This window comes from Homo sapiens, chromosome 5, assembly GCF_000001405.40.
Source record: "Homo sapiens chromosome 5, GRCh38.p14 Primary Assembly".
NCBI classification, from domain to species: domain Eukaryota; kingdom Metazoa; phylum Chordata; class Mammalia; order Primates; family Hominidae; genus Homo; species Homo sapiens.
The window spans coordinates 180910112-180936398 of NC_000005.10; the positions used below are offsets into that span (position 1 = coordinate 180910112).

A 26287-nucleotide genomic window follows, 5' to 3' on the forward strand; every position below is an offset into this window, starting at 1 on the left:
TTTCTAGCCCAGGCATTTTAATTCTCAGAATCTCAGGCCTTGGGCAGGACTTTCAAGTGCCTTATAACAAGGAGGAGAATGTGGAGTCCTAATTAGGGAAAAGGAGTCAGGCTGGCAGGACCAGGTGAAAGCAAAAAGAAAAAAAAAAAGAGGAAATAAACTATAAACATGCCTTTCTTCATGTCTAGAAAATTTAAACAAAAGAGACAGCAGATAAGCTACAGGTCTGCCTTTCTTCGTCATCCTGGACATACAGTCCAGGATATATGGCCCAGAACATTTGGCCTTCCTGCCCAGATAACATACATAACTCACAGACTTCCTGCTTATCATCAAACACCTCAATTTATCAAATATCCCAGCTGACAAAAGAATATAAGTTAGGCTCCCTGCTACCTTGGCATTATCGATCAGCCCAAGCTCCATTCTATAAAATCCCTGAGACTTTTTTTTCTTGCAGTTAGCTTCCCTCATGCTAACTTGCCTATTGCCTTCCTTGCAAAGTACTTTCCTACTTTCTCTAATAAATCTGCCTTTCTCTACCTACAACCATCTTGGTAAATTCTTTTACCCCCACACCACTGGCTGCCATTCCCCCATGACAGAAAAGGCAAACTCCAAGACACTTTTCTCTACTCTGTCTTAGTATCCAGTATCTTACCCTCTAATTCCTCCTCCCTACACCTCCTCCTGAGCTCAGGATTCATAAAGCTGTGAAGCCTTTTGTTCAGCACTCCATCACTAGTGAGTCAGCCCCACACGTGTGATGATCCATCTGCCCCTCAACTGGAATTCCATTTCATGGGGGAGGATGAGACAGGGAGGGGTTGGCATCTTCCTTGGTTTAGCTCTTACTTTTGTAGCAACTGATTAGAGGCTTCACTATTACTTTAATTCGGGTCATCGTTCCTTTGGTCTGTTACTCCTACGCCTGGCGGCTCAGCACTCTCTCTACTTTAGCTGAGCTCCTGACAAGTTTCTCATAGAAGCAGTTTTGTCTTACTTCATCATGACTGGTGCTTAGGAATAGCCACGCATACACAGTAGTTGCTAAAAAATGGCAACGAACAGAGGCCATGGGAAGGCTTTTGCCAAAGGTCGTGGTTTTAGTGTTTGTGTGTGTAAGAGAGAGAATGGGTGGGGGGTGGACTGAATGCACCTGACTCAGAATTGCTGTGGCTTTGGGATGTGATCTTTGCTTTCAACCGTTCCCTGTTTTCTCCCCAGCACTGGGCTCAGTTCCTCTCATTTCCATCACGGGATATGTTGATAGAGACATCCAGCTACTCTGTCAGTCCTCGGGCTGGTTCCCCCGGCCCACAGCGAAGTGGAAAGGTCCACAAGGACAGGATTTGTCCACAGACTCCAGGACAAACAGAGACATGCATGGCCTGTTTGATGTGGAGATCTCTCTGACCGTCCAAGAGAACGCCGGGAGCATATCCTGTTCCATGCGGCATGCTCATCTGAGCCGAGAGGTGGAATCCAGGGTACAGATAGGAGGTGAGTAGGGAGGGGAGGAGAAGAGAAGGAGGGGTGGATGCTTCGGTAACTCAGAGGGAGGACAGGAGCCTCCATCTTGGCATTGCTGTTTTATCTTTCTCAGTTCTAATGATTTATTTTAAAAGTTTAAAATCAATGAGATGTAAAAGTAAAGTTATAAACATTTGGTTAGGTGGAAATAGAATTGTTTACAATTCCAGGGGAGTAGAATTAAGTATTTCCTTCAGCTGTGACGTAACCCTGTGATGGTTAATTTTTTGGGTCCACTTGACTGGGTCACGATTTGCTCAGATTTGGTCAAGTATTATTCAGGATGCTTCTGTGAGGGTGTTTACACATAAGATTCACATTTGAATTGGTAAACTGAGTAAAGAAGATTGCCCTCCATAATGCGGGTGGGCTTATCCAATCAGCTGAAGACCTGAATAGAACAAAGGGTCGACCCTCCCCTGAGTGAGAGAATGATCTTGCATAGTAGCCTTTTAACTGGGACACTGGCTCTTCCTGGCCTCAGAGCAGGCTGCTGGCCTTCAGACTCAAACTGAACCACTGGCTCTTTCTATGTCTTGAGCCTGCGGACTTTTGGACAGGAGTGACACCATTGGCTCTTCTGGTTCTCAGGTCTTCTGGTTTCAACGTAAATGAACCATTGGCTCTCCTGGGGCTCCAGATTGCTGACTCACCCATGAGTTGGGACCTAAAAGAGCTTCCATGATGTATGCAAGCCAATTCTTTATACTAAATCTGTCTCTCCTCTTCCTTTCTCTCTTTATCTCCATCTTTCTCTCTCAAATATATAGAAACAACAGGATGTATATATATATATATATGTATGTGTGTATACATCCTAGTGGTTCTGTTACTCTGGAGAACTCTCACTAATACAGATTTGGTACCAAGAGTATTTCTAGAGAAAAAGAATTTTAGGGATAACTTTTCAGTCATCCCTAAAATTCTAAAATTCTCTGAGCTGGGATTACTGTGTACACCTGTAGTCCCAGCTACTCAGGAGGCTGAGGTGGGAGGATCACTTGAGCCTAGGAGTTTGAGGCCAGCCTACACAACATAGCAAGACCCCGTCTTCAAACAAACAAAACAAAAAGCACTGAAAGTTCATGTTGTGATCTAGCAATACAGATATGCAAAATTTCACCATTTGCGACCCATAATTAAGCATGGGTTGACTGGTATATGATATTTTCAAACATGTGTGTCGACCTAGTGAATAAGATGAGATTGGCTGGTTGCTCCTATTCTTGCTAGAAAAAGTGAGGAAAGTGATGAAAGGAAATATGAGCGGAGGAATTTGAATTCTGAGTTTCTTGGTGTTGCATAAATAACCTGAAAGCTTCCATGAGTGCCCTGAAAGAGACCCTTATTTTCTGTAGCCACAGGGCTAAGATTGCTGAAAACCAAATTGAGAACTCATTCTGTGACTGGCTGAACGACAATGGAAATCCAAACCTGTTCCTCAGGGTATCTGTCAATGTGAGGGGGCATTGACTGGGAAGAAATGAGATTCAGAAAGTTGAAATGGGGATGTATGGGAAGACTGATGAAGCTGGGGACATTGAGCCTCAAATGCTGATGAGTCTTTGCCAGTGAAAGCAGTCTCAGTCTCTCTATGTCAATTAGAAGTAGCCTCTCCACCTTCATCTCAGGGGATTAACCCTGCATTGCCCAAAGAAACTGTAATGGCCTCTTTCCTGAGGCAGTCACCATGCAAGACAATGCTGATGCTACGCAGGACCCACCCCTACCATTCCTCTTTGCTTCTAGATCTGTACCTAGGCTCAAGTTTCAGCAGGACCCTAAAGTTGGAAACAATGCATGACTCATTAGAAAGTGTACTACACTCCAAAAGAGCTAGTTGGTTTTTCTAATCTATACAGACCAGAAATCCAGAGAATCCATGTCAAATGATATTAAGGGTGTAAGGTGGTGGTACAAGGACGTAAGGTTGGCTCAAACCACATGTAATGGCCTCACTAATCAGAGATCCTGCATTTAATGTTGCAGCTCAGAGTGTTAGAAAGGCCTCTATCGTTTGGTTGGCTGAAGCATGGATCAAAATGTGGCCCACAGAGAGTGACAGGTGGGCATGCTGTTAGGAGCCTTTGCCAGGCCCCTGTAAGTGAATCATGGCACAGGCCCTCAGGATTGAGAAGCAGAGCCCTGCCATTCTCTACGAATAACTACTCTTCTTTTGAAAAATACATCTTGGGCTAGACCTTAGGAAAGACTGAACACTTAATCATGGGCCGCCAAGTTGCAATGTGACTTGAATCAGTAAGAATATAGAATACTTGAACTAAAAATTAACAAACCCAATTTAATAGATATTCTTAGAAGGCTGCACCCACCACAAAGCATTGGAAGCACACACAGACCATAAATTAACTCTCATCAGGCTCAAGCACATAAAATGCTTTACAAAAACTTTGAAGAAAATGGTATTGCGATATGGTTTTAGTGTTGTGTCTTCTCCAAAATTCATGTTGAAACGAAATCCCCAATGCAGCACTATTAAGAGGTGGGCTTTTTAGGAGGTGATTAAGTCCTGAGGACTATGCCCATATGAATGGGTTAGTGCCTTATAAAAGGATTTAAGGGGGTGAACTTACCCTTTCCACCCCTTCTGCCATGTGAGGGACACAGTGTTCATCGCCTTCAGGGGACACAGCAACAAGGTGCCATCTTGAAACAGAGGACAGTCCTCATCAGATGCCAAATCTATTGATACTTGACCTTGGACTTCCCAGCCTCCAGAACTATGAGAAATACATTTCTATTGTTTACAAATGAGCCAGTCTGTAGTATTTTGTTATAGCAGCACAAATGGACAAAGACTGGTATGATTCAAACGATGATTTCTAATCACAATATAATTAAATTCAATGAGAAAAAGAAAAACAATTTAATATTCATATATGTTTGAAACTTTCAAAACATACTTCAAAAATAACTAAGTGGTCATTGAAAAAGTCATAATGATAATTAAAAGTGTCTTAGGACTGAATGATAATGAAACTATACATACAAACTATCACACAACTATACCTTTTAAGAAGTGACATGATTAGGATGGTGAAATGGAGTTTTCAGTTCTCAAACTCCCACAGAAACACTAATTTTAACAACTACCATGAACAAAAGTATTTTTGTAGGAGTCTAGGAAGCCACTTGAGAGGTTCCAACTGGTTGGTCAGGCAAAAAAGCCAAGAACAGATGCATGGAGGAAGGTAAGAACTGTTTCCTTCTACCCGCCTCACTGCTCTTCCGAGGTAACTCAGTGCCAAGAGAGACTCCCTCAGCCCACAATTTTTGCCATGGGGAAAGTGAGAGCAAAGTGAATGTCCAGATTCCCCAGGCTTGTGGGATGCTGCCCAGGAAACCCATTTCTGTCTCACTTAATGCAGAACACTGAGGGGACCATGTGGCTGAATCATCTGGGGGCAGCTAGGAGTAGGGAAAGAGGAGGGGGCTTATGGCAGCCAGTGCATGGACCTGAACAACAAGCAGCAGAACCTACTGGCCAGCCCCTGCACTCTACTAGAGGCCCACCTCACAACCTGCTGACTACCCAACCAGCTGATATGTGCCCCCAGCCCTCCACACACCACCCCTGTGGCTAGAACCTCTTGGTCCATCACAGTGGGGCACGTGCTTCCCTGCAGACAGGGTGCCTGAGCCTCAGCAGATGTGCATACAAACTTCTGCAGTCAGAACACAGATAGCAATCAGCTTGACTCTGCTGGATTGAGAGAAGGTGCACAATCTTGAGTATTTTAGGGAATTGCCCTAGGGATAAATAAATGCAAGGCTCTCAGCAGCCAGCCTGCTTTGCAGGACTGAGAAAAGAAAATCCCAAGACTTCCTCTCACCAAGAAGGAACGAGAAAAGTAAAGCAGGTACATCCATAAAAAAGATCTGAGAGACTTCCAGAGTATCTAGCCAGGCTGACTGGTCAAGGTCTTTGTCTACCAAAGTCTGCCAGTACAGACTAGAGGAGGAGGAGTGACAGAAAGACAAAATATACTGTCAAACAGATTCACAGCACATTAAAAGATTCATTTACCATGATTAAGTGAGCTTTATCCTTGGAACATAAGGATGGTTCAACATATGCAAATCAATAAATATTACACTAACAGAATGAAAGACAAAAACAATATGATCATCTCAATAGATGCAGAAAAAGCATTTGACAACATTCAACACCCTTTCATGACAAAACCAACTTTCAATAAATTAGGTATAGAAGCAATGTAGCTCAACACAATAAAGGCCATACGTAACATGCCCACAGAGCATATACCCAGTGGTTGTCTTAGTCCACTTTATGCTGCTGTACCAGAATACCTGAGATTGGGTAATTGATAATGAACAGAGGTTTATTTGGCTCATGGTCGTGGAGGCTGGGAAGTCTAAGATCAAGGGGTCACATCCTGTGAGGGCCTTCTAGTTGTGTAATTCCATGGAGGAAGGTAGAATGGCAAGAGAGTAAGAAAGAGGAAGGAAGCTGCTTCTGCAAAAATGGCATTAATCCACTCACGAGGGCAGGATCCTCATGGCCTTGTCACCTCTTAAGGGTCCCACCTGTCAACATTATTGCATTGGGGATTAAGTTTTCAACACATAAACTCTGGGGATACATTGAAACCACAGTGATGATGAAAAATTTTTAAACAATAGCGAAATCTATGGAATGTAGCAAAACCAGTTCTAAAAGTTTATAGCTATAAATATCTACATTAAGAAAAAAGAAAGATCTCAAATGAACAACCTAAGTTTATACCTCAAGAAATTAGAAAAAGAAAAAACTAAGCCAAAATTTAGCAGAAGGAAGGAAAAAATAATAATTAGAGCAGAAATAAATGAAATAGAAAAACAATAAAAAGATCAATAAAACTAAATGTTGTTTATTTGAAAAGATAAGTAAAATTGACAAGCCTTTACCTAGATTAACCAAGAAAAAAAGAGCTGACTCAAATAAATAGAATTATAAATAAAAGATGATACATTACAACTGGTACCACAGAAATAAATATAAAATGTCATGAGACTATCGTAGTTCTCCCTTATCCACAGGGGTTACATTCCAAGATCCCCAGTGAATGCCACAAACCACGTACAGTACCAAACCCTATATATGCTATTTTTCATGTCTCAAATGGAACAGAGCAGGATGATAGAGATTTCATCATGCTACTCAGAATGGTGTGCAATTTAAAACTTACAAATTGTTTATTTATGAAATTTTTCATTCAATATTTTTGGGCCACAATTGATCACGAGTAACTGAAATCATGAAAAGTGAAACCAAAGACAAGGTTAGACTACGGCACTATGAAAAATCATAGGCCAACAAACCAGATAACCTAGCAGAAACCAAAGACAAGGTTAGACTACGGCACTATGAAAAATCATAGGTCAACAAACTGGATAACCTAGCGGAAACCAAAGACAAGGTTAGACTATGGCACTATGAAAAGTCATAGGCCAACAAACTGGATAACCTAGCAGAAACCAAAGACAAGGTTAGACTACGGCACTATGAAAAATCATAGGCCAACAAACTGGATAACCTAGCAGAAACCAAAGACAAGGTTAGACTACGGCACTATGAAAAATCATAGGCCAACAAACTGGATAACCTAGCAGAAACCAAAGACAAGGTTAGACTATGGCACTATGAAAAATCATAGGCCAACAAACTGGATAACCTAGCAGAAACCAAAGACAAGGTTAGACTACGGCACTATGAAAAATCATAGGCCAACAAACTGGATAACCTAGCAGAAACCAAAGACAAGGTTAGACTACGGCACTATGAAAAATCATAGGCCAACAAACTGGATAACCTAGCAGAAACCAAAGACAAGGTTAGACTACGGCACTATGAAAAATTACAGGCCAACAAATTGGATAACCTAGCAGAAATGGATACATTCCTAGAAACATACAACCTATAAAAACTGAATCAGAATAATTTAAAAAAAATACCAGACCAGTAATTAGTTAGAAATACAATTGATAATCAAAATCCTCCCAACAAAGAAAATTCCATGACCAGATGGCTCTGCTGGTGAATTCTGCAAAATATTTAAAGAAAAATTAACACAAAAAATTAGCTGGGCGTGGTGGCGGGTGCCTGTAATCCCAGCACTCTGGGAGGCCGAGGTGGGTGGATCACGAGGTCAGGAGATCGAGACCATCCTGGCTAACACGGTGAAACCCTGTCTCTACTAAAAATACAAAAGAATTAGCCGGGCATGGTGGCGGGTGTGTGTAGTCCCAGCTACTTGGGAGGCTGAGGCAGGAGAATGGCGTGAACCCGGGAGGTGGAGCTTGCAGTGAGCTGAGATGGCGCCACTGCACTCCAGCCTGGGTGACAGAGTGAGATTCTGTCTCAAAAAAAAAAAAAAAGAAATAAACAAAGAAAGAAAAATTAATGCCAATACTTTTCAAACTCTTGCAAAAAATTAAAGATGGGGAATAATTCCAAACTCATTTTATGAGGCCACAGTTACCCTGATACAAAAACCATATAAGAACACCATAAAAAAGAAGAAAATTACATGCCAATATCCCTGATAAACATAGATGCAAACATTTCCAACAAATATTAGCCAACCAAATTCATGATAAAAAGAATAATTACAAAGTACATTAAAAGAAACATTAAACGTATCCCCATGATCAAGTGGGATTTATCTCTGGGATGCAAGAATGTTTCAACACACGCAAATAAATAAATATAATATATGACATTAACAGAATGAAGAACAAATAATGTATAATTATGTTAACAAACGCAGAGAAAGCATTTGACAATATTCAGCATCTTTTCATAATAAAAGTCAACAGACTAGGTAACAAAAGAATGTACCTCAACATAATAAAGATCACATATGTGTCAACAAAAAGAGTCAAACTCTATAAAACATTTAAAGAGGTTTATTCTGGGCCAAATGTGAGTGACCAAAGCCCAAGGCATAGTCTCAACAAGTCCTGAGAACATGTGCCCAAGGTGGTTGAGTTACAGCTTGATTTTATGTTTTAAGGGGACAGAAATTACAGACAGACATCAATCAATATATGTAAGGTGTACACTGGTTTGGTCTAGAAAGGCAGGACAACTTGAAATGGGGGCTTCCAAGTAATAGGTAGATTAGAAGATTTTCTGGTTGGCAAATGGTTGTGAGTTATCTAAAAGACCTGGAATCCATAGAAAAGAGTGTCTAGATTAGGATAGGGGGTTGTGGAGACCAAGGTTCTTACATGTAGATGAAGTCTCATAAGTGGCGACCCTTAGAGGCAATAGGTGGCAAATGTTTCATATTCAGATCTTTAAAAATTGCTAGACTCTCAGCTAATCAGTCTCTTCGGGATCAGACAAAGACCTGGAAAGGGAAATTTACATTCTGTAGAGAATTTACATTTCCCCCACCAGAGGCAGCTTTGCCAGGCTATTTCAAAATATGTCAAAGAAATATGCTTTGGGGTAAAATATTTTAAATTCTTTCAGGGCCTGCTATCTGTCATGTGATGCTATATGATAGTCCAGTTGGGATTTGGTATCTTATTGCTACAAAGAGTCTGTTTTGTCAGTCTTAAGACCTCTGTTGTAATGTTAATGCTGCTCAGTTGTTCCTGAACTCCAAAGGGAAGAGGACATAATGAGGCATGTCCAACCTCACCTTCCCATCATGGCCTGGACTAGTCCTTCAGGTTTACTTGGGAATTCCCTTTCTTGAGAAGAGGGGGTCCATTCAGTTGACTGGGAAGCTTAGAATTTTATTTTTGGTTTACATATTATAAGCTCATAGCTAACATTATCCTCAACACTGAAGTAGTGAAAGCTTTCCTTTAAGATTAGGAACAAGATAAAGGTGTCCACTCTTGCCACATAGTATTGGATGTTATAGCCAGAGCAATTGGGCAAAAAAGAAAATTAATAAAAAGCAACCAAATCAGAAAGGAAGAAACATAAATGTCTCTGTTTGGAGATGACATGACACGTAGTGAGCCCTAGAGAATCCACTAAAACCTGTTAGAACTTAATAAATGAATTTAGCAAAGTTGTAGGATACAAAATCAACATATAAAATTAGTAGTGTTTCTATACACTAACAATAAATTGTCTGAAAAGAAATCAAGGAAACAACTTCATTTAAAATAGCATCAAAAAATTAGAAGTAAATTTAGCCAATGAGGTCAAAGATCTGTACACTGAAAACTATAAGACACTGGTGAAAGAAATGGACTATAACACAAATAAATAGAAATGTATCATGTGTTCATAGAATTAATATTGCTTAATGTTCATACTACCCAAATCAATTTATAGATTTAATGCAATCACTATTAAAATTCAAAGGCATTTCTCACAGAATTAGAAAACAATCTAAATTCACATGGGATCACAAAAGACCCTGAATAGCCAAATAAGACTTGAGCAAAAAGAACAAAGTACAAGCATCATACTACCTGATTTCAAATTATGTTATATTAGGTTGGTGCAAAAGTAATTGTGGTTTTTGCCATTGAAAGTAATAGCAAAGACTGCAAAGACTTTTGCACCAACCTAATAGTAATTAAAACCATATGGTACTGGCATAAAAACAGACATATAGATTAATGGAACAGAATTAAGAGCCAAGAAATAAACCCATGCTATATGGTCAACTAATCTTCAGTAAGATTACCAAGAATACAAAATGGATAAATGATAGTTTCTTTAACAAATGGTGTTTGGAAAACTGGATATTTACATGCAACAGAGTGATATTGGACTCATATTTTCCATCACACACAAAAATCAATTCAAAATGAATTAAAGATATAAACAAAAGGCCTTAAACTATAAACTCTTAGAAGAAAGCATACAGAAAAATCTCCTTGACATTGATCTTGGCAGTGATTTTTCACCCTGACACCAAAAGCACAGGCAATGAAAGCAAAAATGAACAAGTAAGATTACATCAAACTAAAAAGCTTTTGCACAGCAAAGGAGATAATCAACAAAATAAAAAGCAACATGTGGAATGGGAGAATATTTTCAAAGTATATACCTGATAAAGAGTTAATGTCCAAAATATGTAAGACACTCATACAACTCAATAACCAAAAATATTCCAATTTTTACAATGGGCAAAGTACATGAATAAACATTTTCCCCAAAAGACATATAAATATTAATAGCCAAGAGATTTATGAAAAGTGACTCACTATCACTAACCATCAGGGAAATTCAATCAAAAGTATAAGGAGAGATCACCTCATACTTGTTAGACTGGTTATTACTAACTTAAGAAATATTACAGGTGTTACTACATTGTTGCTGGGAATATAAATTGATACAGCCACTATGGAAAACAGTATGCAGATTCCTTAAAAAAATACAAATAGAACTATGCTACATAGTCTTATATGTAGATAAACCCTAAAGATTCCACAAAAAACTGTTAGAGCTAATACATTTAGTAAAGTTGCAGTGTACAAAATTATATAAAATAAGTAACCTCATTGATAATTTATAATCCAGCAATCCTGCTTCCGTGCATTTATCCAAAAGAATTGAAGTCAGGATTTCAAAAAGATACTTGCACTTCCATGTTTATTGTGGCATAGTTCACAGTAGCCAAGATATGAAAACAATCTATTTGCTGACAGATGAATGGATTTAAAAAGTGACATATGTAATGAAATATTACTCAACAATAAAAAAGAGGTAATCCCGACACATGGATGAACATGGAGGACATTATGTTAAGTAAAATAAGCCAGACATAAAAATGATCTCACTTATATGTGTAATCTAAAATCATCAGTCATAGAATCATAGAGCATAACTGTGATTGCCAGGGAATGAGGGGAGGGAAAAATGGGAAGGTGATATTCAAAAGGTATAAAAAAGTTTCATTTGTGCAAGATGAAGAAGTTCTGGAGATCTACTATACAGCACAGTGCCTGTAGCTAACAATAAACTATTGTATTCTTAAATTCTGTGAAGAGGGTAGATCTTATATTCTGCTCATACTACACACACACACACACACACACACACACACACACAGACACACACACAATAATTGTAATAATTATAATAAAAGGGGTAGGAGGAAACTACGGGAGATGATGGATATGTCTATAGTCTTGATGGTGGTGATGATTTGAATGGGTATATACTTATCACCAAACTCTTTGAGTTGTATAAATTAAATATGTACAGCTTTTTACATGTGAATCATACCTATCATACTTGATAAATGGTTTTATGAAACAAAAAACAAAACAGAAAAATAAATTAACACCTTTAAATAAATGTATCCATTTCTTCTAGAATTTCTAGTTTGTGTGAATAGAGGTGTTCATAATAGTCTCTGATAGTTATTTGTATTTTTTTGGCTCAGTGTAATATCCCCTTTGTCATTTCTGATTGTGTTTATTTGGATATTTTTTTCTCTTTTCTTTATTAGCCTAGCTAGTGGTCTATATATTTTATTAATTTTTTTCAAAATCCAACTCTGGATTCATTGATCTTTTGAATGGTATTTCATATCTCAATCTCCTTCAGTTCAGCTCTGATTTTGTTATGTCTTATCTTCTGCTAACTTTGGGATTGATTTTCTCTTGGTTCTCTAGTTCTTTTAGTTGTGATAATAGGTTCTTAAATTGAGATCTTTCTAACTTTTTGATGTAGTTGTTTAGTGCTATAAAGTTCCCTCTTAACAGTGCCTTGGTTGTGTCCCAGAGGTGCTGGTATGTTGTGTCTTTTTTCTCATTAGTTTCAAAGAAATTCTTAATTTCTGCCTTAATTTCATTATTTACCCAAAAGTCATTCAGGAGTAGGTTATTCAATTTCCATGTAATTGTATTGTTTTGAGTGATTTTGTTAGCCTTGATCTGTAATCGTATTGAGCTGTGGTCTGAGAGAGCGGTTGTTATGATTTCAGTTCTTTTGCATTTGCTAAGAAGTGTTTTGTGTCTGATTATGTGGTCAGTTTTAAAGTATGTGCTATGTAGTGATAAGAAGAATGTATATCCTGTTATTTTTGGGTGGAGAGTTATGTAGATGTCTATGAGATCCATTTGATCCAGTGTGAGTTCAGGTCCTGAATATCTTGTTAATTTTCTGCCTCAATAATCTATCTAATACAGTCAGTGGGGTGTTGAAGTCTCCCACTATTATTGTGTGGAAGTCTAAATCTCTTTGAAGGTCTCCAAGAACTTGCTTTATGAATCTGGGTGCTTTTGTGTTGGGTGCATATATATTCAGGATAGTTATGTTTGTTGAACTGAACCCTTTACCATCATATATTGCCTTTCTTTGTCTTTTTGATTATTGTTGGTTTAAAGTCTGTTTTGTCTCAAATTATAATTGCAACTCCTGCTTTTTCCTGCTTTCCATTTGCTTAGTAGATTTTCCTACATCCCTTTATTTTGAGCCTATGGATGTTGTTGCGTGTGAGATTAGTCTCTTGAAGACAGCATACCATTTGGTCTTGTTTCTTTATCCAGCTTGCCACTCTGTGCCTTTTAATTGGAGGATTTAGCCAATAAGGCAGTTTAAAAAATATTAATAAGAAATTTTCAGAAACATAAATGTAAAATTCCAATTAGAAATTTTATAAACTCCAAGCAAATGTTTTTTAAAAAACCTAATATATTATGACTGAATTGAGCTTACCCAGGAATAAAAGGTTAGGTCAACATTGGGATATGTATATTTATGTAAGTATTACCTTAATAAGTTAAAGGAGAAAATCTATAAGATTCTCTATAGATGTTAATAAAACATATATAAGTTTCAACATCTAACTATGATTTAAAACACTTGTGAATCCAGAAATAAAAGAAAACCTTTTATGAATTAGCAACAGAAGAGCAGTTCTTTCATCTGATAGAAAGCTATTTAAAAATACCCATAGCTACCATGATACATCATGGTAGGAGGTTTAAACCCAGGAACTTAATGAAGATAACTGCATTAAACATTGCTGTTCAACAATATGCTGGAATAGTAATCATTGCAAAAAAAGAAAGAAAGTGAAAAAAGAATTACAATTTCCAGGAAGGAAAAAATAGAATGCCTATTTCCAACAGGTTATATGATAATACACATTGGAAATCTGGATTAATCTACAGACAAATTCTTTCAATTTATACTTCATTATGTTCATAAAAATAAGATCAGTAAACAAAATACATTGCATTTTATACACCAGCAAAGACAGAAAAACAAACAAATATGCCATGTATAATAACACAAAATGTCACATAGAAATATATTTAATAAAATATTTTTATACTCTTATTAAGGATTAGATAAGTTTACTAAAATAACTAAAATAAGAGGAGAGACACATCTGGCCCTACTGAGCCCCACTGGTCAAGTAGCAACACAATTCCTGATGCTGTCTTTAAGCCTTACTCAGCGTGGGAGGCAAGTGCACACTGGCAGTTGACCATACAGGGAGCATCTGGCCCTGGCCAACCTCAGCAGCTGAGCAGCGACTCAGCCAGCCTTGGGTTCTCTTTGCATATTCCCTAGATAGGAAGACAATAGCAGCTCTGTGATTATCTACAGAGGGAGCATCTGATCTTGCCCAGACCCAGTAGCTATGCAGCAACTCAACCCACCATTGGTGTTCTGCTTAAGGCTACTCTAGACTAGGAGCCAAGCCCAAGTCCACACACATCTGTGGAGCATAGCCTCTGGCCCTGCCCACCCTGAGTGATCAAGCAGCAACCCCAGAAATCTCACCCAGCCTCAGAGCTCAGCACACGTCCCTGACCAACTACAGATTCCAAACAACAGTACCATCTAGCAAGAAAGACAACCTCTAACCCTGGACAATCAGGCAACTGCAGAGCCCAATCAGCAGCACCACCTGTCACAGGAGCACAGCCAGCAGTTCCATTTAATGTCAGAGCACAGGTAGTGGCCCAGCCCAACTAGAGAACCCAACACCCACATCTGCCTGTCTGAGGTTGCTACCAGTTGGCCTATTCAGAATCCCAGGCTATATTAAATAGTGAAGACCTCTTACTGAGAAAGAACACTTGCAAAGGCCAGAAAAGGTGGCCATTTCTTCAAATGTGCAGGCACCAACACAAAGACAGAAGGATTATTTTAAAAATCAAGAAAATATGACACCAAAAGAAACTAATAATGCTCCGGTAATAGACCCTGAAATATGCAAGTCTATGAGACCACTAAGAATTTAAGATAATCCCCTTAAAGAAGTTCAGGAAACTACAAGAAAATGCAGATAGAAAATAAATAACATTTGAAAAATGGTTAATGAACAAAAAGAAAAGCTTGACAAAGGAATAAAAACAATAAAATAGTTAAAATCCTAGAAATGATGAATACAATAACTGAACCAAAATATTAACTAGAAAGCTTCAACAGCAGACTTGATCAAGGCAAAGAATCACTGGGCTTGAAGACTGGATATTTTAAATTATCCAGTCAGAGAATAAAAAAGAAAAAAGAATAAAAAATGAAAAAGACCTATAGGAATTATTGGACACCATTAAGTGTACTGACTTTTGCATAATAGGAGTTTCAGAAGGAGATGAGAGAGAACAAGATCCCGAAGGCATATTTAAGAAAATAATGGCTGAAAATTTCCCAAATGTGGTGAAACACAAAAATATCCAGGTTCAGGAAGCTTGGATGTCATCAATCAAATTCAACCCAAAGAGGATTTTACCAAGATATATCATATTCCAATTATCAAAAAATCAGAGACAAAGAAAGAATACTGAAAGCAGCAAGAGAATGAACCATATCGCATTCAAGAGAGCCCCAATATGGTTTTCAGCCTTTCTCTTAGCAGCAATCCTGCATGCCAGGAAAGAATGGCATTATGTATTCAAAGTGTTGAAGGAAAAGATTGCCAATCAAGATTACATTACTAGCAAATCTGTCCTTCAGAAATGAGGGAGAAATAAAATCTTTCCCAGACAAACAAAAGCTATGGTAATTAATCATTATTAGATCTATTTTATAAATATTACTAAAGGGAGCCCTTTAACTAAAACAAAAGGATTATAATAACAAAAACATATGGAAGTAAAAAACTCACTGGTAAAAATAATATATAGTCATATTCAGAATTCTCTAATACAGTAAGGGTGGTATTTAAAGCTAATTTATCCCTACTGTCACAGTTAAAAGACAAAATTATTAAAAGCACCTATAACTAAAATAAATTGTAAAGAAATACAAATTACAAAACATGTAAATTTTGACATCAAAATCATAAGAAGTGGAAAGGAGTGAAAGTGTAGAGTTTTTGTATGTGATTAAAGTTATCAGAATAAAATAGCCTGTTAAAAGGATATTTTGTGTATGCCTCATGGTAACCACAACACAAAAAAACCACAGCAGGCGGTGGCTGGCAAGATGGCCAAATAGGAACAGCTGCGGTCTGCAGCCCCCAGCAAGATCAATGCAGAAGGGAGGTGATTTCTGCATTTCCAACTGAGGTACCTGGCTCATCTCATTGGGACTGGTTAGACAGTGGGTGCAGCCCACGGAAAGGGAGCTGAAGTAGGGTGGGGCATCACCTCACCTGGGAAGTGCAAGGGGTTGGGGAACTCCCTCTCATAGCCAAGGGAAGATGTGAGGGACTGTGCCATGAGGAATGGTGCACTACAACCCAGATATTATGCTTTTCCCATGGTCTTTGCAACTCATAGACCAGAAGATTCCCTTGGGTGCCTACACCACCCGGGCCCTGGGTTTTAAGCACAAAACTGGGTGGCCGTTTGGGCAGACACCAAGCTAGCTGCAGGAGATTTTCATACCCCAGTGGCACCTGGAATGGCAGCGAGACAGAACCATTCACTCCCCTGGAAAGGGGGCTGAAGCCAGAAAGCCAAGTGGTCTAGCTCAGTGGATCCCACCCCCATGGAGCCCAGCAAGCTATGATCCAAGGGCTTGAAATTCTCACTGGCAGCAGAGCAGTCTGGGGTCAACCCAGGACACTCGAGCTTGGTGGGCAGAGGGACATCACCATTACTGAGGCTTGAGTAGGCAGTTTTTCCCTCACAGTGTAAACAAAGCCACCAGGAAGTTCAAACTCTATGGAGCCTACTGCAGCTTGGCAAAGCCTCTGTAGCCAGACTGCCTCTCTAGATTCCTCCTTTCTGGGCAGGGCATCTCTGAAAGAAAGGCAGCAGCCCCAGTCAAGGGCTTAGAGATAAAACTCCCATCTCCCTGGGACAGAGCACCTGGGGGAAGGAGAAGCTGTAGGCACAACTTCAGCAGACTTAAACGTTCCTGCCTGCCTGCTCTGAAGAGAACAGCAGCTCTCCCAGCACAGTGCTTGAGCTCTGCTAAGGGACAGACTGCCTCTTCAAGTGGGTCCCTGACCCCTGTGCCTTTTGACTGAAAGACACCTCCCAGCAGGGGTCGACAGACGCCTCATACAGGAGAGCTCCGGCTGGCATATGGTGGATGCCCCCCTGGGACGAACCTTACAGAGGAAGGAGCAGGCAGCAATCTCTGCTGTTCTGCACCCTCCGCTGATGATACCCAAGCAAACAGGGCCTGGAGTGGACCTCCAGTAAACTTCAGCAGACCTGCAGCAGAGGGTCCTGACTGGTAGAAGGCAAACTAGCAAACAGAAAGGAATAGCATCAACATCAACACAACAAAAAGGATGTCCACACAGAAACCCCATTCGAAGGTCACCAACATCAAAAACCAAAGGTAGATAAATCCATGAAGATGAGGAAAAACCAGTGCAAAAAGGCTGAAAATTCCTAAAACCAGAATGCCTCTTCTGTTCCAAAGGATTACAACTCCTCACCAGCAAGGGAACAAAACCGGATGGAGAATGAGTTTGATGAATTGACAGAAGTAGGCTTCAGAAGGTGGGTAATAGCAAACTCCTTTGAGCTAAAGGAGCATGTTCTAACCCAATGCAAGGAAGCTAAGAACCTTGAAAAAAGGTTAGAGGAGCTGCTAACTAGAATAACCAGTTTAGAGAAGAAGATAAATGACCTGATGGAGCTGAAAAACACAGCATGAGAACTTTGTGAAGCATACACAAGTATCAACAGCCAAATCGATCAAGTGGAAGACAATGATATCAGAAACTGAAGATCAGCTTAATGAAATTAAACATGAAGACAAGATTAGAGAAAAAAAGAATGAAAAGGAACAAACAATGCCTCCAAGAAATATGGGACTATGTGAAAAGACCAAACCTACGTTTGATTGCTATACATGAAAGTGACGGGGAGAATGGAACCAAGTTGGAAAAGATTCTCCAGGATACTACCCAGGAGAACTTCCCCAACCTAGTAAGACAGGCCAACATTCAAATTCAGGAAATACAGAGAACACCACAAAGATACTCCTTGAGAAGAGCAACCCCAAGACACATAATCGTCAGATTCACCAAGGTTGAAATGAAAGAAAAAATGTTAAGGGCAGCCAGAGAGAAAGGTTGGGTTACCCACAAAGGGAAGCCCATCAGACTAACAGTGGATCTCTCTGCTGAAACCCTACAAGCCAGAAGAGAGTGAGGGCTAATAGTCAACATTCTTAAAGAAATGGATTTTCAACCCAGAATTTCATATCCAGCCAAACTAAGCTTCATAAGTGAAGGAGAAATAAAATCCTTTACAGAAAAGCAAATGCTGAGGGATTTTGTCACCACCAGACCTGCCTTACAAGAGCTCCTGGAGAAAGCACTAAATATGGAAAGGAAAAACCAGTACCAGCCATTGCAAAAACACACCAAGTTGTAGAAACTGCATCAACTAATGGGCAAAATAACCAGCTAGCATAATAATGACAGGATCAAATTCACACATAACAATATTAACCTTAAATGTAAATAGGCTAAATGCCCCAGTTAAAAGACATAGACTGGCAAATTTGATAACGGGTCATGACCCATTAATGTGCTATATTCGGGAGACCCATCTCACGTGCAAAGACACACATAGGCTCAAAATAAAGAGATGGAGGAAATTTACCAACCAAATGGAAAGCAGAAAAAAGCAGGCGTTGCAATCCTAGTCTCTGATAAAACAGACTTTAAACAAACAAAGATCAAAAGAGACAAAGAAGGGCATTACATAATGATAAAGTGATCAATGCAACAAGAAGAGCTAACTATCCTAAATATATATGCACCCAATATAGAAGCACCCAGATTCATAAAGCAAGTTCTTAGAGACCTACAAAGAGACTTAGACTCCCACACAATAATAGTGGAAGATTTTAACACCCAACTGTCAGTATTAGACAGATCAACGAGACAGAAAATTAACAAGGATATTCAGGACTTGAACTCAGCTCTGGAACAAGTGGACCCTATAGGCAGCTACAGAACTCTCCACCCCAAATCAACATAATATATATTCTTCTCAGGACCACATCACACTTATTCTACAGTTGATCACATAATTCGAAACAGAACACTCCTCAGCAAATGCAAAAGAATGTAAATCATAACAAACAGCCTCTCGGACCACAGTGCAATCAAATTAGAACTCAGGATTAAAAAACTCACTCAAACCACAAAACTACATGGAAACTGAACAACCTATTCCTGAATGACTACTGGGTAAACAATGAAATTAAAGCAGAAATAAATAAGCTCTTTGAAACCAATGAGAACAAAGACACAATGTACCAGAACCTCTGGGACACAGCTAAAGCACTGTTTAGAGAGAAATTTATAGCACTACATGCCCACAGGAGAAAGCAGGAAAGATCTAAAATCGACACCCTAACATCACAAATAAAAGAACTACAGAAGCAAGAGCAAACACATTCAAAAGCTATCAGAAGACAAGAAATAACTAAGATAAGAGCAGAACTGAAGGAAATAGAGACACAAAAAACCCTTCAAAACATCAATGAATCCAGGAGGTGGTTTTTTGAAAAGATTAACAAAATAGATAGACCGTTAGTGAGACTAATAAAGAAGAAAAGAGAGAGGAATCAAATAGACACAATAAAAAATGATAAAGGGGATATCACCACTGATCCCACAGAAATACAAACTACAATCAGAGAATACTATAAATCCCTCTACACAAATAAACTAGAAAATCTAGAAGAAATGGATAAATTCCTGGACACATACACCCTCCCAACACTAAACCAGGAAGAAGTCAAATCCCTGAATAGACCAATAACAAGTTCTGAAATTCAGGCAGTAACTAATAGCCTACCAATCAAAAAAGGCCCAGGACAAGATGGATTCACAGCTGAATTCTACCAGAGGTACAAAGAGGAGCTGGTACTATTCCTTCAGAAACTATTCCAAACAATAGAAAGAGAGAAACTCCTTCCCTAACTCATTTTATGAGGCCACCATCATCCTGATACCAAAACCTGGCAGAAACACAACAAAAAAGGAAAATTTCAGGCCAATATTCCTGATAAACATCAATGTGAAAATCCTCAATAAAATACTGGCAAAGCAAATCCAGCAGCACATCAAAAACCGTATCCACCACGATCAAGTTGGCTTCATCCTTGGGATGCAAGGCTGGTTCAACATACGCAAATTAATAAACGTAATCCATCACATAAACAGAACCAATGACAAAAACATTATCTCAATAGATGCAGAAAAGGCCTTCGATAAAATTAAACACCCCTTCATGCTAAAAACTCTCAATAAATTAGATGTCAATGGAATGTATCTCAAAATAATAAGAGCTACTTATGACAAACCCACAGCCAATATAATACTGAATGGGCAAAAACTGGAAGCATTCCCTTTGAAAACTGGCACAAGACAAGGATGTCCTCTTTCACCACTCCTATTCAACATAGTATTGGAAGTTCTGGCCTGGGCAGTCAGGCAAGAGAAAGAAATAAAGGGTATTCAAATAGGAAGAGAGGAAGTCAAATTGTCTCTGTTTGCAGATGATAGGATTGCATGTTTAGAAAACCCCGGTGTCTCAGCCCCAAATCTCCTTAAGCTGATAAGCAACTTTAGCAAAGTCTCGGGATACAAAATCAATGTGCAAAAATCACAAGCATTTCTATACACTAATAATAGACAAACAGAAAGCCAAATCATGAATGGACTCCCATTCACAATTGCTACAAAGAGAATAAAATACCTAGGAATCTAACTTACAAAGGACGTGAAGGACCTCTTCAAGGAGAACTACAAACCACTGCTCAAAGGAAATAAGAGAGGACACAAACAAATGGAAGAATATTCCATGCTCATCGATAGAAAGACTCAATATCATGAAAATGGCCATACTGCCCAAGGTAATTTATAGATTCAATGCTATCCCCATCAAGCTACCACTGACTTTCTTCACAGAATTGGAAAAAACTACTTTAAAGTTCATATGGAACCACAAAAGAGCCCGTATAGCCAAGACAATCCTAAGCAAAAAGAACAAAGCTGGAGGCATCATGCTACCTGACTTCAAACTATACTAGAAGGCTACAGTAACCAAAACAGCATAGTACTGATACAAAAACAGATATATAGAGCAATGGAACAGAACAGAGGCCTTAAATAATGCCACACATCTACAACCATCTGATTTTTGACAAACTTGACAAAAATAAGCAATGGGGGAAGGATTCCCTATTTAATAAATGGTGTTGGGAAAACTGGCTAGCCATACGTGGAAAACTGAAACTGGACTCCTTCCTTACACCTTATACAAAATTAACTCAAGATGGATTATAGACTTAAACATAAAACCTAAAACTGTAAAAACCCTAGAAGAAAACCTAGGGAATAACATTCAGGATATAGGCATGGGCAAAGACTTCATGACTAAAACACTAAAAGCAAGGGCAACAAAAGCCAAAATTGACAAGTGGGATCTAGTTAAACTAAAGAGCTTCTGCACAGCAAAAGAAACTATCATCAGAGTGAACAGGCAACCTACAGAATGGGAGAAAATTTTTGCAATCCATCCATCTGACAAAGGGCTAATATCCAGAATCTACAAGAACTTAAACAAATTTCCAAGAAAAAAAACAAACAATGCCATCGAAAAGTGGGGGAAGGATATGAACAGACACTTCTCAAATGAAGACATTTATGTGGCCAACAAACGTGAAAAAAAGCTCATCATCACTGGTCATTAGAGAAATGCAAATCAAAAGCACAATGAGATACCATCTTGTGCCAGTTAGAATGGTGATCATTAAAAAGTCAGGAAACAACCCATGCTGGAGAGAATGTGGAGAAATAGGAAAGTTTTTACACTATTGGTGGAAGTGTAAATTAGTTCAACCATTGTGGAAGACAGTGTGGCGATTCCTCAAGGATCTAGAACCAGAAATACCATTTGACCCAGCAATCCCATTACTAAGTATATACTCAAAGGATTATAAATCATTCTACTATAAAGACACATGCACACATATGTTTATTGCAGCACTGTTCACAATAGCAAAGACTTGGAACCAACCCAAATGCCCATCAATGATAGGCTGGTTAAATAAAATGTGACACATATACACCATTGAATACTATGCAGCCATAAACAAGCATAAGTGGAAGTTGAACAATGAAAACACATGGACACAGGGAGGGGAATATTACACACTGGGTCATGTCAGGGTGTGGGGGGCTAAGGAGGGATAGCATTAGGAGAAATACGTAATGTAGATGATGAGTTGATGGGTGCGGCAAACCAGCATGGCACATGTATACCTATGTAACAAACCTGCACATTCTGCAAATGTATCCCATAACTTTAAGTATAATTATTTTTTTCAGATGGAGTCTTGCTCTGTCGCCCAGGCTGGAGTGCAGTGGCACAATCTTGGCTCACTGCAAGCTCCCCCTCCCGGGTTGACGCCATTCTCCTGCCTCAGTCTCCCAAGTAGCTGGGACTACAGGTGCCCGCCACCATGCCTGGCTAATTTTTTTTTGTATTTTTAGTAGAGACAGGGTTTCACCATGTTAGCTAGGATGGTCTCGATCTCCTGACCTCGTGATCCGCCCGCCTCGGCCTCCCAAAGTGCTGGGATTACAGGCGTGAGCCACTGCGCCTGGCCAATTTTAAGTATAATTTTTAAAAAGCCACAGCAATTGCACAAACAATAAAAAACAAAGGATTCAAAGCATGCAACTGTGAGAAAACATCAAATTTCAAAGGAAGACAGCCAGAGAAGAATTAAAAATAAAAGATCTACAAAACCAACATAAAACAAATTATAAAATGGAAGTCTGTACCTATAAATAACCTTGAATGTAAATGGGTTAAATTCTCCAATTAAAATACATAGACTGGCTGAATGTATTTTTAAAATCAACCATATACTACTGTCTATAAGTGACTCACATTACTAGTAAAGACACACAAAGTCTGAAAGTGAGGGGATGAAAAAGGATATTCCATGCAAATAAAAACCAAAAAAAAAAAAAGCAGTGGTAGCTATACTTATATGAGACAAAATAGACTTTAAGTATGTAACTATAAAAAGAGAAAAAGGTCATTATGTAATAATAGAGGGTTCAATTTACCAAGAACATATAACAATATAAATATATATGCACAAAACATCAAAGCAGTTAGTAAATATTTTAAGGAGAGATAAACTGCAACACAATAGAAGTAGGGAACCTCAAATCCCACTTTCAGCAATGAACAGATAATCTAGACACACAATCAATAAGAAAACTTTGGACTTAAACTACATGTTAGAGCAAATGGACTTAATAGCCATATACAGAATATTCTATCCAACACCAGTAGAGCACACATTCTTCTCAAGTGCACATTCTCCAGAACATATCATATCTTAGGCCACATAAAAAGTTTTAAATTTAAGAGGATTAAACTCATAATAAGTATATTTTCAGACCACAATGGTACAACCTAGAAATCAATAGAAATCTTGGAAAACAGGCAAATATGTGGAAATTAAACAACATGCTTTCAAACAACCATCGGGTCGCAGGAAAAAACAAGAATGAAATAAAAAATATTTTGAGACAAGCAAGAATGGAAACACAACACACAAAACTTATGGGGTGCATTAAAGGCAAAAATGAGAGGGAAATTTATAGCAATAGACATCTGTATCAAAGAAGAAGGATCTCTAATAAACAGCCTAATGTTACACATCAAGGAACTAGAAAAAGAAAAAAGAATTACATCCAAAGAACAGAACAATAATAAGTAAGGAGACTGACTTAGTAATAAAAATTCTCCCATCAAAGAAAAGCCCAGGACCCAGTGACATCACTGATGAATTCTACCAAACATTTAAAGAAAAACTGCCAGCATTTCTCAAACTCTTCCAAAAAATGACAGAGGACATACTTCCAAACTTATTTTACAAGGTCAACATTACCCTGATACCAATATCAGACAAGGACACTGAAAAAAAAAGAAAACTACAGGCCAATATTCCTGATGAAAATAGATGCAAAAATTCCACCCCCCACCAAATACTAGTAAACCAAATAAAATAGCACATTAAAAGAATTGCCCACTGTGACCAAGTATGATTTAACCCTAGGATGCAAGGATGGTTCAATATATACAAATATAAATGTCATATAACATATAAGCAAAGTGAAGGATAAAAATCATATGATAATCTCAATTGATACAGAGAAAATATTTGATAAATTCAGCACCCTTTCATGATTAAAAATCTCTGAACATATTAGGTATACAGGGAATGTACTTCAATACAATAAAAGCCATATATGACAACCCATAGCTAACATTGCCATGGCATCCTTTGGGTGTTGCTTTTCCTCTGGAAACCTTTGCCCAAGTTTTTCTTAGGCCCATTGGGCTTGTTCTGCCCCCTTGGCCTTGCAGGCTGTGCTTGGCTTGTGATACCAGTCCAGATCCCACACCTGCCAAGGGCGAGCCAGGCACAGAGCAGTGAGGAGTGCATGAGTGAGCGAGCACAAAATCTGGCCACTGTGCACAGCCAGGCATGCTGGCTGCTGTGGTGGAGCAGGCAGCTCTAGGCACCAGCACAGGTGCCAGCTCCATGTAAACCTCTGTGTGGCTAGATCAGATGCACTGCAAGTAGCTTCCACTGTAGGCACCTGTGTCTGGACGAGGGGAATGTGGTGGTGCCTGGAAGCTTGGAAATGCCAGAAACCATACAGGCCCAAAGAGGGTGTCACAGTCCTGGCATGGGAAGCCCCTAGGTCTGGGCTCCTGGAAGGGCTGCAGCTCTTCTCTCCTTCTCATTGTCTGCAACATTGCAAACAGGGCGGTGTGTATCAGCCCTGTTTGTGTTACAGCTTTTTCAGTCCCACCTTTCAGTGGTTCCCAAGTTCTTGTCCCATATCCAGGAAGAATGTGGTACACAGACAACTGGAGGGTAAGGCAGTGAGGAGCTTTATTGAGCAACAGAACAATTCTCAGGAGACCTGAAGTGGGTAGCTCCTTTCTGCAGGCAGGTCATCCCAACAAGTGGGTAGCTCCTTCCTGCTTCTCACTTCATAGTCCTGATGTCTGTCTGAGTCTAGGGGTTTTTATGGGCCCAGAAGGAAGGGAGTGCATGCTGATTGGTTCATGGATGGCCATGGGTGGCTGGGAAAAAGCACCATAAATTCTGACTCCAGGCAGTGGACTCCACCCGGAACTGGCAGCCCAGCCCCCAGGCTTCAGGTCATCCCTGGCTTGAAGGTAGTTAGGGACCTGCCCCTTTCCACCCAGGAACCTGTTTCCCTTCCACCATCAACATGCCATCCATGGTACCTGGGCTGTTCATGCTGAGTTGGACCTGCAGACCTGTGCAGAGCTGCCCTCAGCCATCGTCCTCCCTCCTGTGCTCACTGGTGCTCAAAGTCCAGAAGGAGCTGAGGAGGCAGAAGCTGTCATGTCAGCACTGCCTCCAGCACATGCATACCTGGCTGGGCACAACAGTGCCCGGACTCGGCTACAACTTTGCTTTGCACTGGAGTGGACACCAGGAGCAGGGAGAGGGTAGGAAGCAGAAGCAGGCACTTCTGAGCCTGCAGGGGCAGAGAGGGTTTCCAGGGCCCCGAGAGCACAGTGATGCCTGGGTCTGGAGCTGCGGCTGGGTGACTGCAGTTGTGCCCCAGAGCACAGGACTCCTGCCCCGTGGACTTGGTAGAGAGTGGGGCTCCCCCCATTCCCAGCCCCCTCCCAGCCCCACCTGGCTCCATGGAGCACATGGCCCCAGCCACACCTCCCCTGCTGCAGCCAGCATCTTCACAGCAACTGCTCCAGACAGGCTGCCACTGTTATCAACATCATACTTAAACATGAAAAGTGGAACACTTTTCCTGCTAGATCAGGGACAATACAAGAATGCCCATTCTTATAACTTTTTTTTTTTTTGGTGTCTTGCTCTGTCGCCAGGCTGGAGTGCAGTGGCATGATCTCAGCTCACTGCAACCTCCGTCTTCTGGGTTCAAGTGATTCTCCTGCCTCAGCCTCCCGAGTAGCTGGGACTACAGGCACACACCACCATACCCAGCTAATTTTGTTGTATTTTTAGGAGAGACAGGTTTTCACCATGTTGGCCAGGATGGTCTCGATCTCTTGACCTTGTGATCTGCTTGCCTTGTCCTCCGAAAGTGCTGGGGTTACAGGCGTGAGCCACCGCCCCGGCACTTCTTTCTAACATAGTACTGGATGTCCTAACCAGCACAGTTAGGCAAAAGAAAGAAAGAAAAGGTATCCACATTGGAAAGAAAAAAGTAAAATTGTCTCTATTTAGTAATAACATCATCTTATATATAGAAAATCCTAAAGACTTAGCCAAAAAAGTATTGGAAAAGGTAAACAAGTCTAGTAATGTTGA

At 39.7% G+C, this 26287-nt stretch overlaps 1 protein-coding gene across 12 annotated transcripts in view; it reads left to right on the forward strand.

Annotated features, from left to right (window-relative positions):
- The window catches only part of BTNL8 (butyrophilin like 8), a 51748-nt gene that overhangs the window by 10953 nt on the left and 14508 nt on the right, over positions 1-26287 (forward strand). For 9 of the 12 annotated variants that reach the window (XM_047417764.1, NM_001159709.2, NM_024850.3 and 6 more), the window contains one exon: positions 1228-1503. The exons of 1 other annotated variant lie outside the window; for it this stretch is intronic. In XM_047417764.1, coding sequence (XP_047273720.1) covers positions 1228-1503 — 276 coding nt within the window. Of the gene's footprint in view, positions 1-982; positions 1122-1227; positions 1504-26287 lie in introns of those variants that run through there. 2 more of the 12 variants (XM_011534651.4, XM_011534652.4) reach the window with 2 other exon arrangements.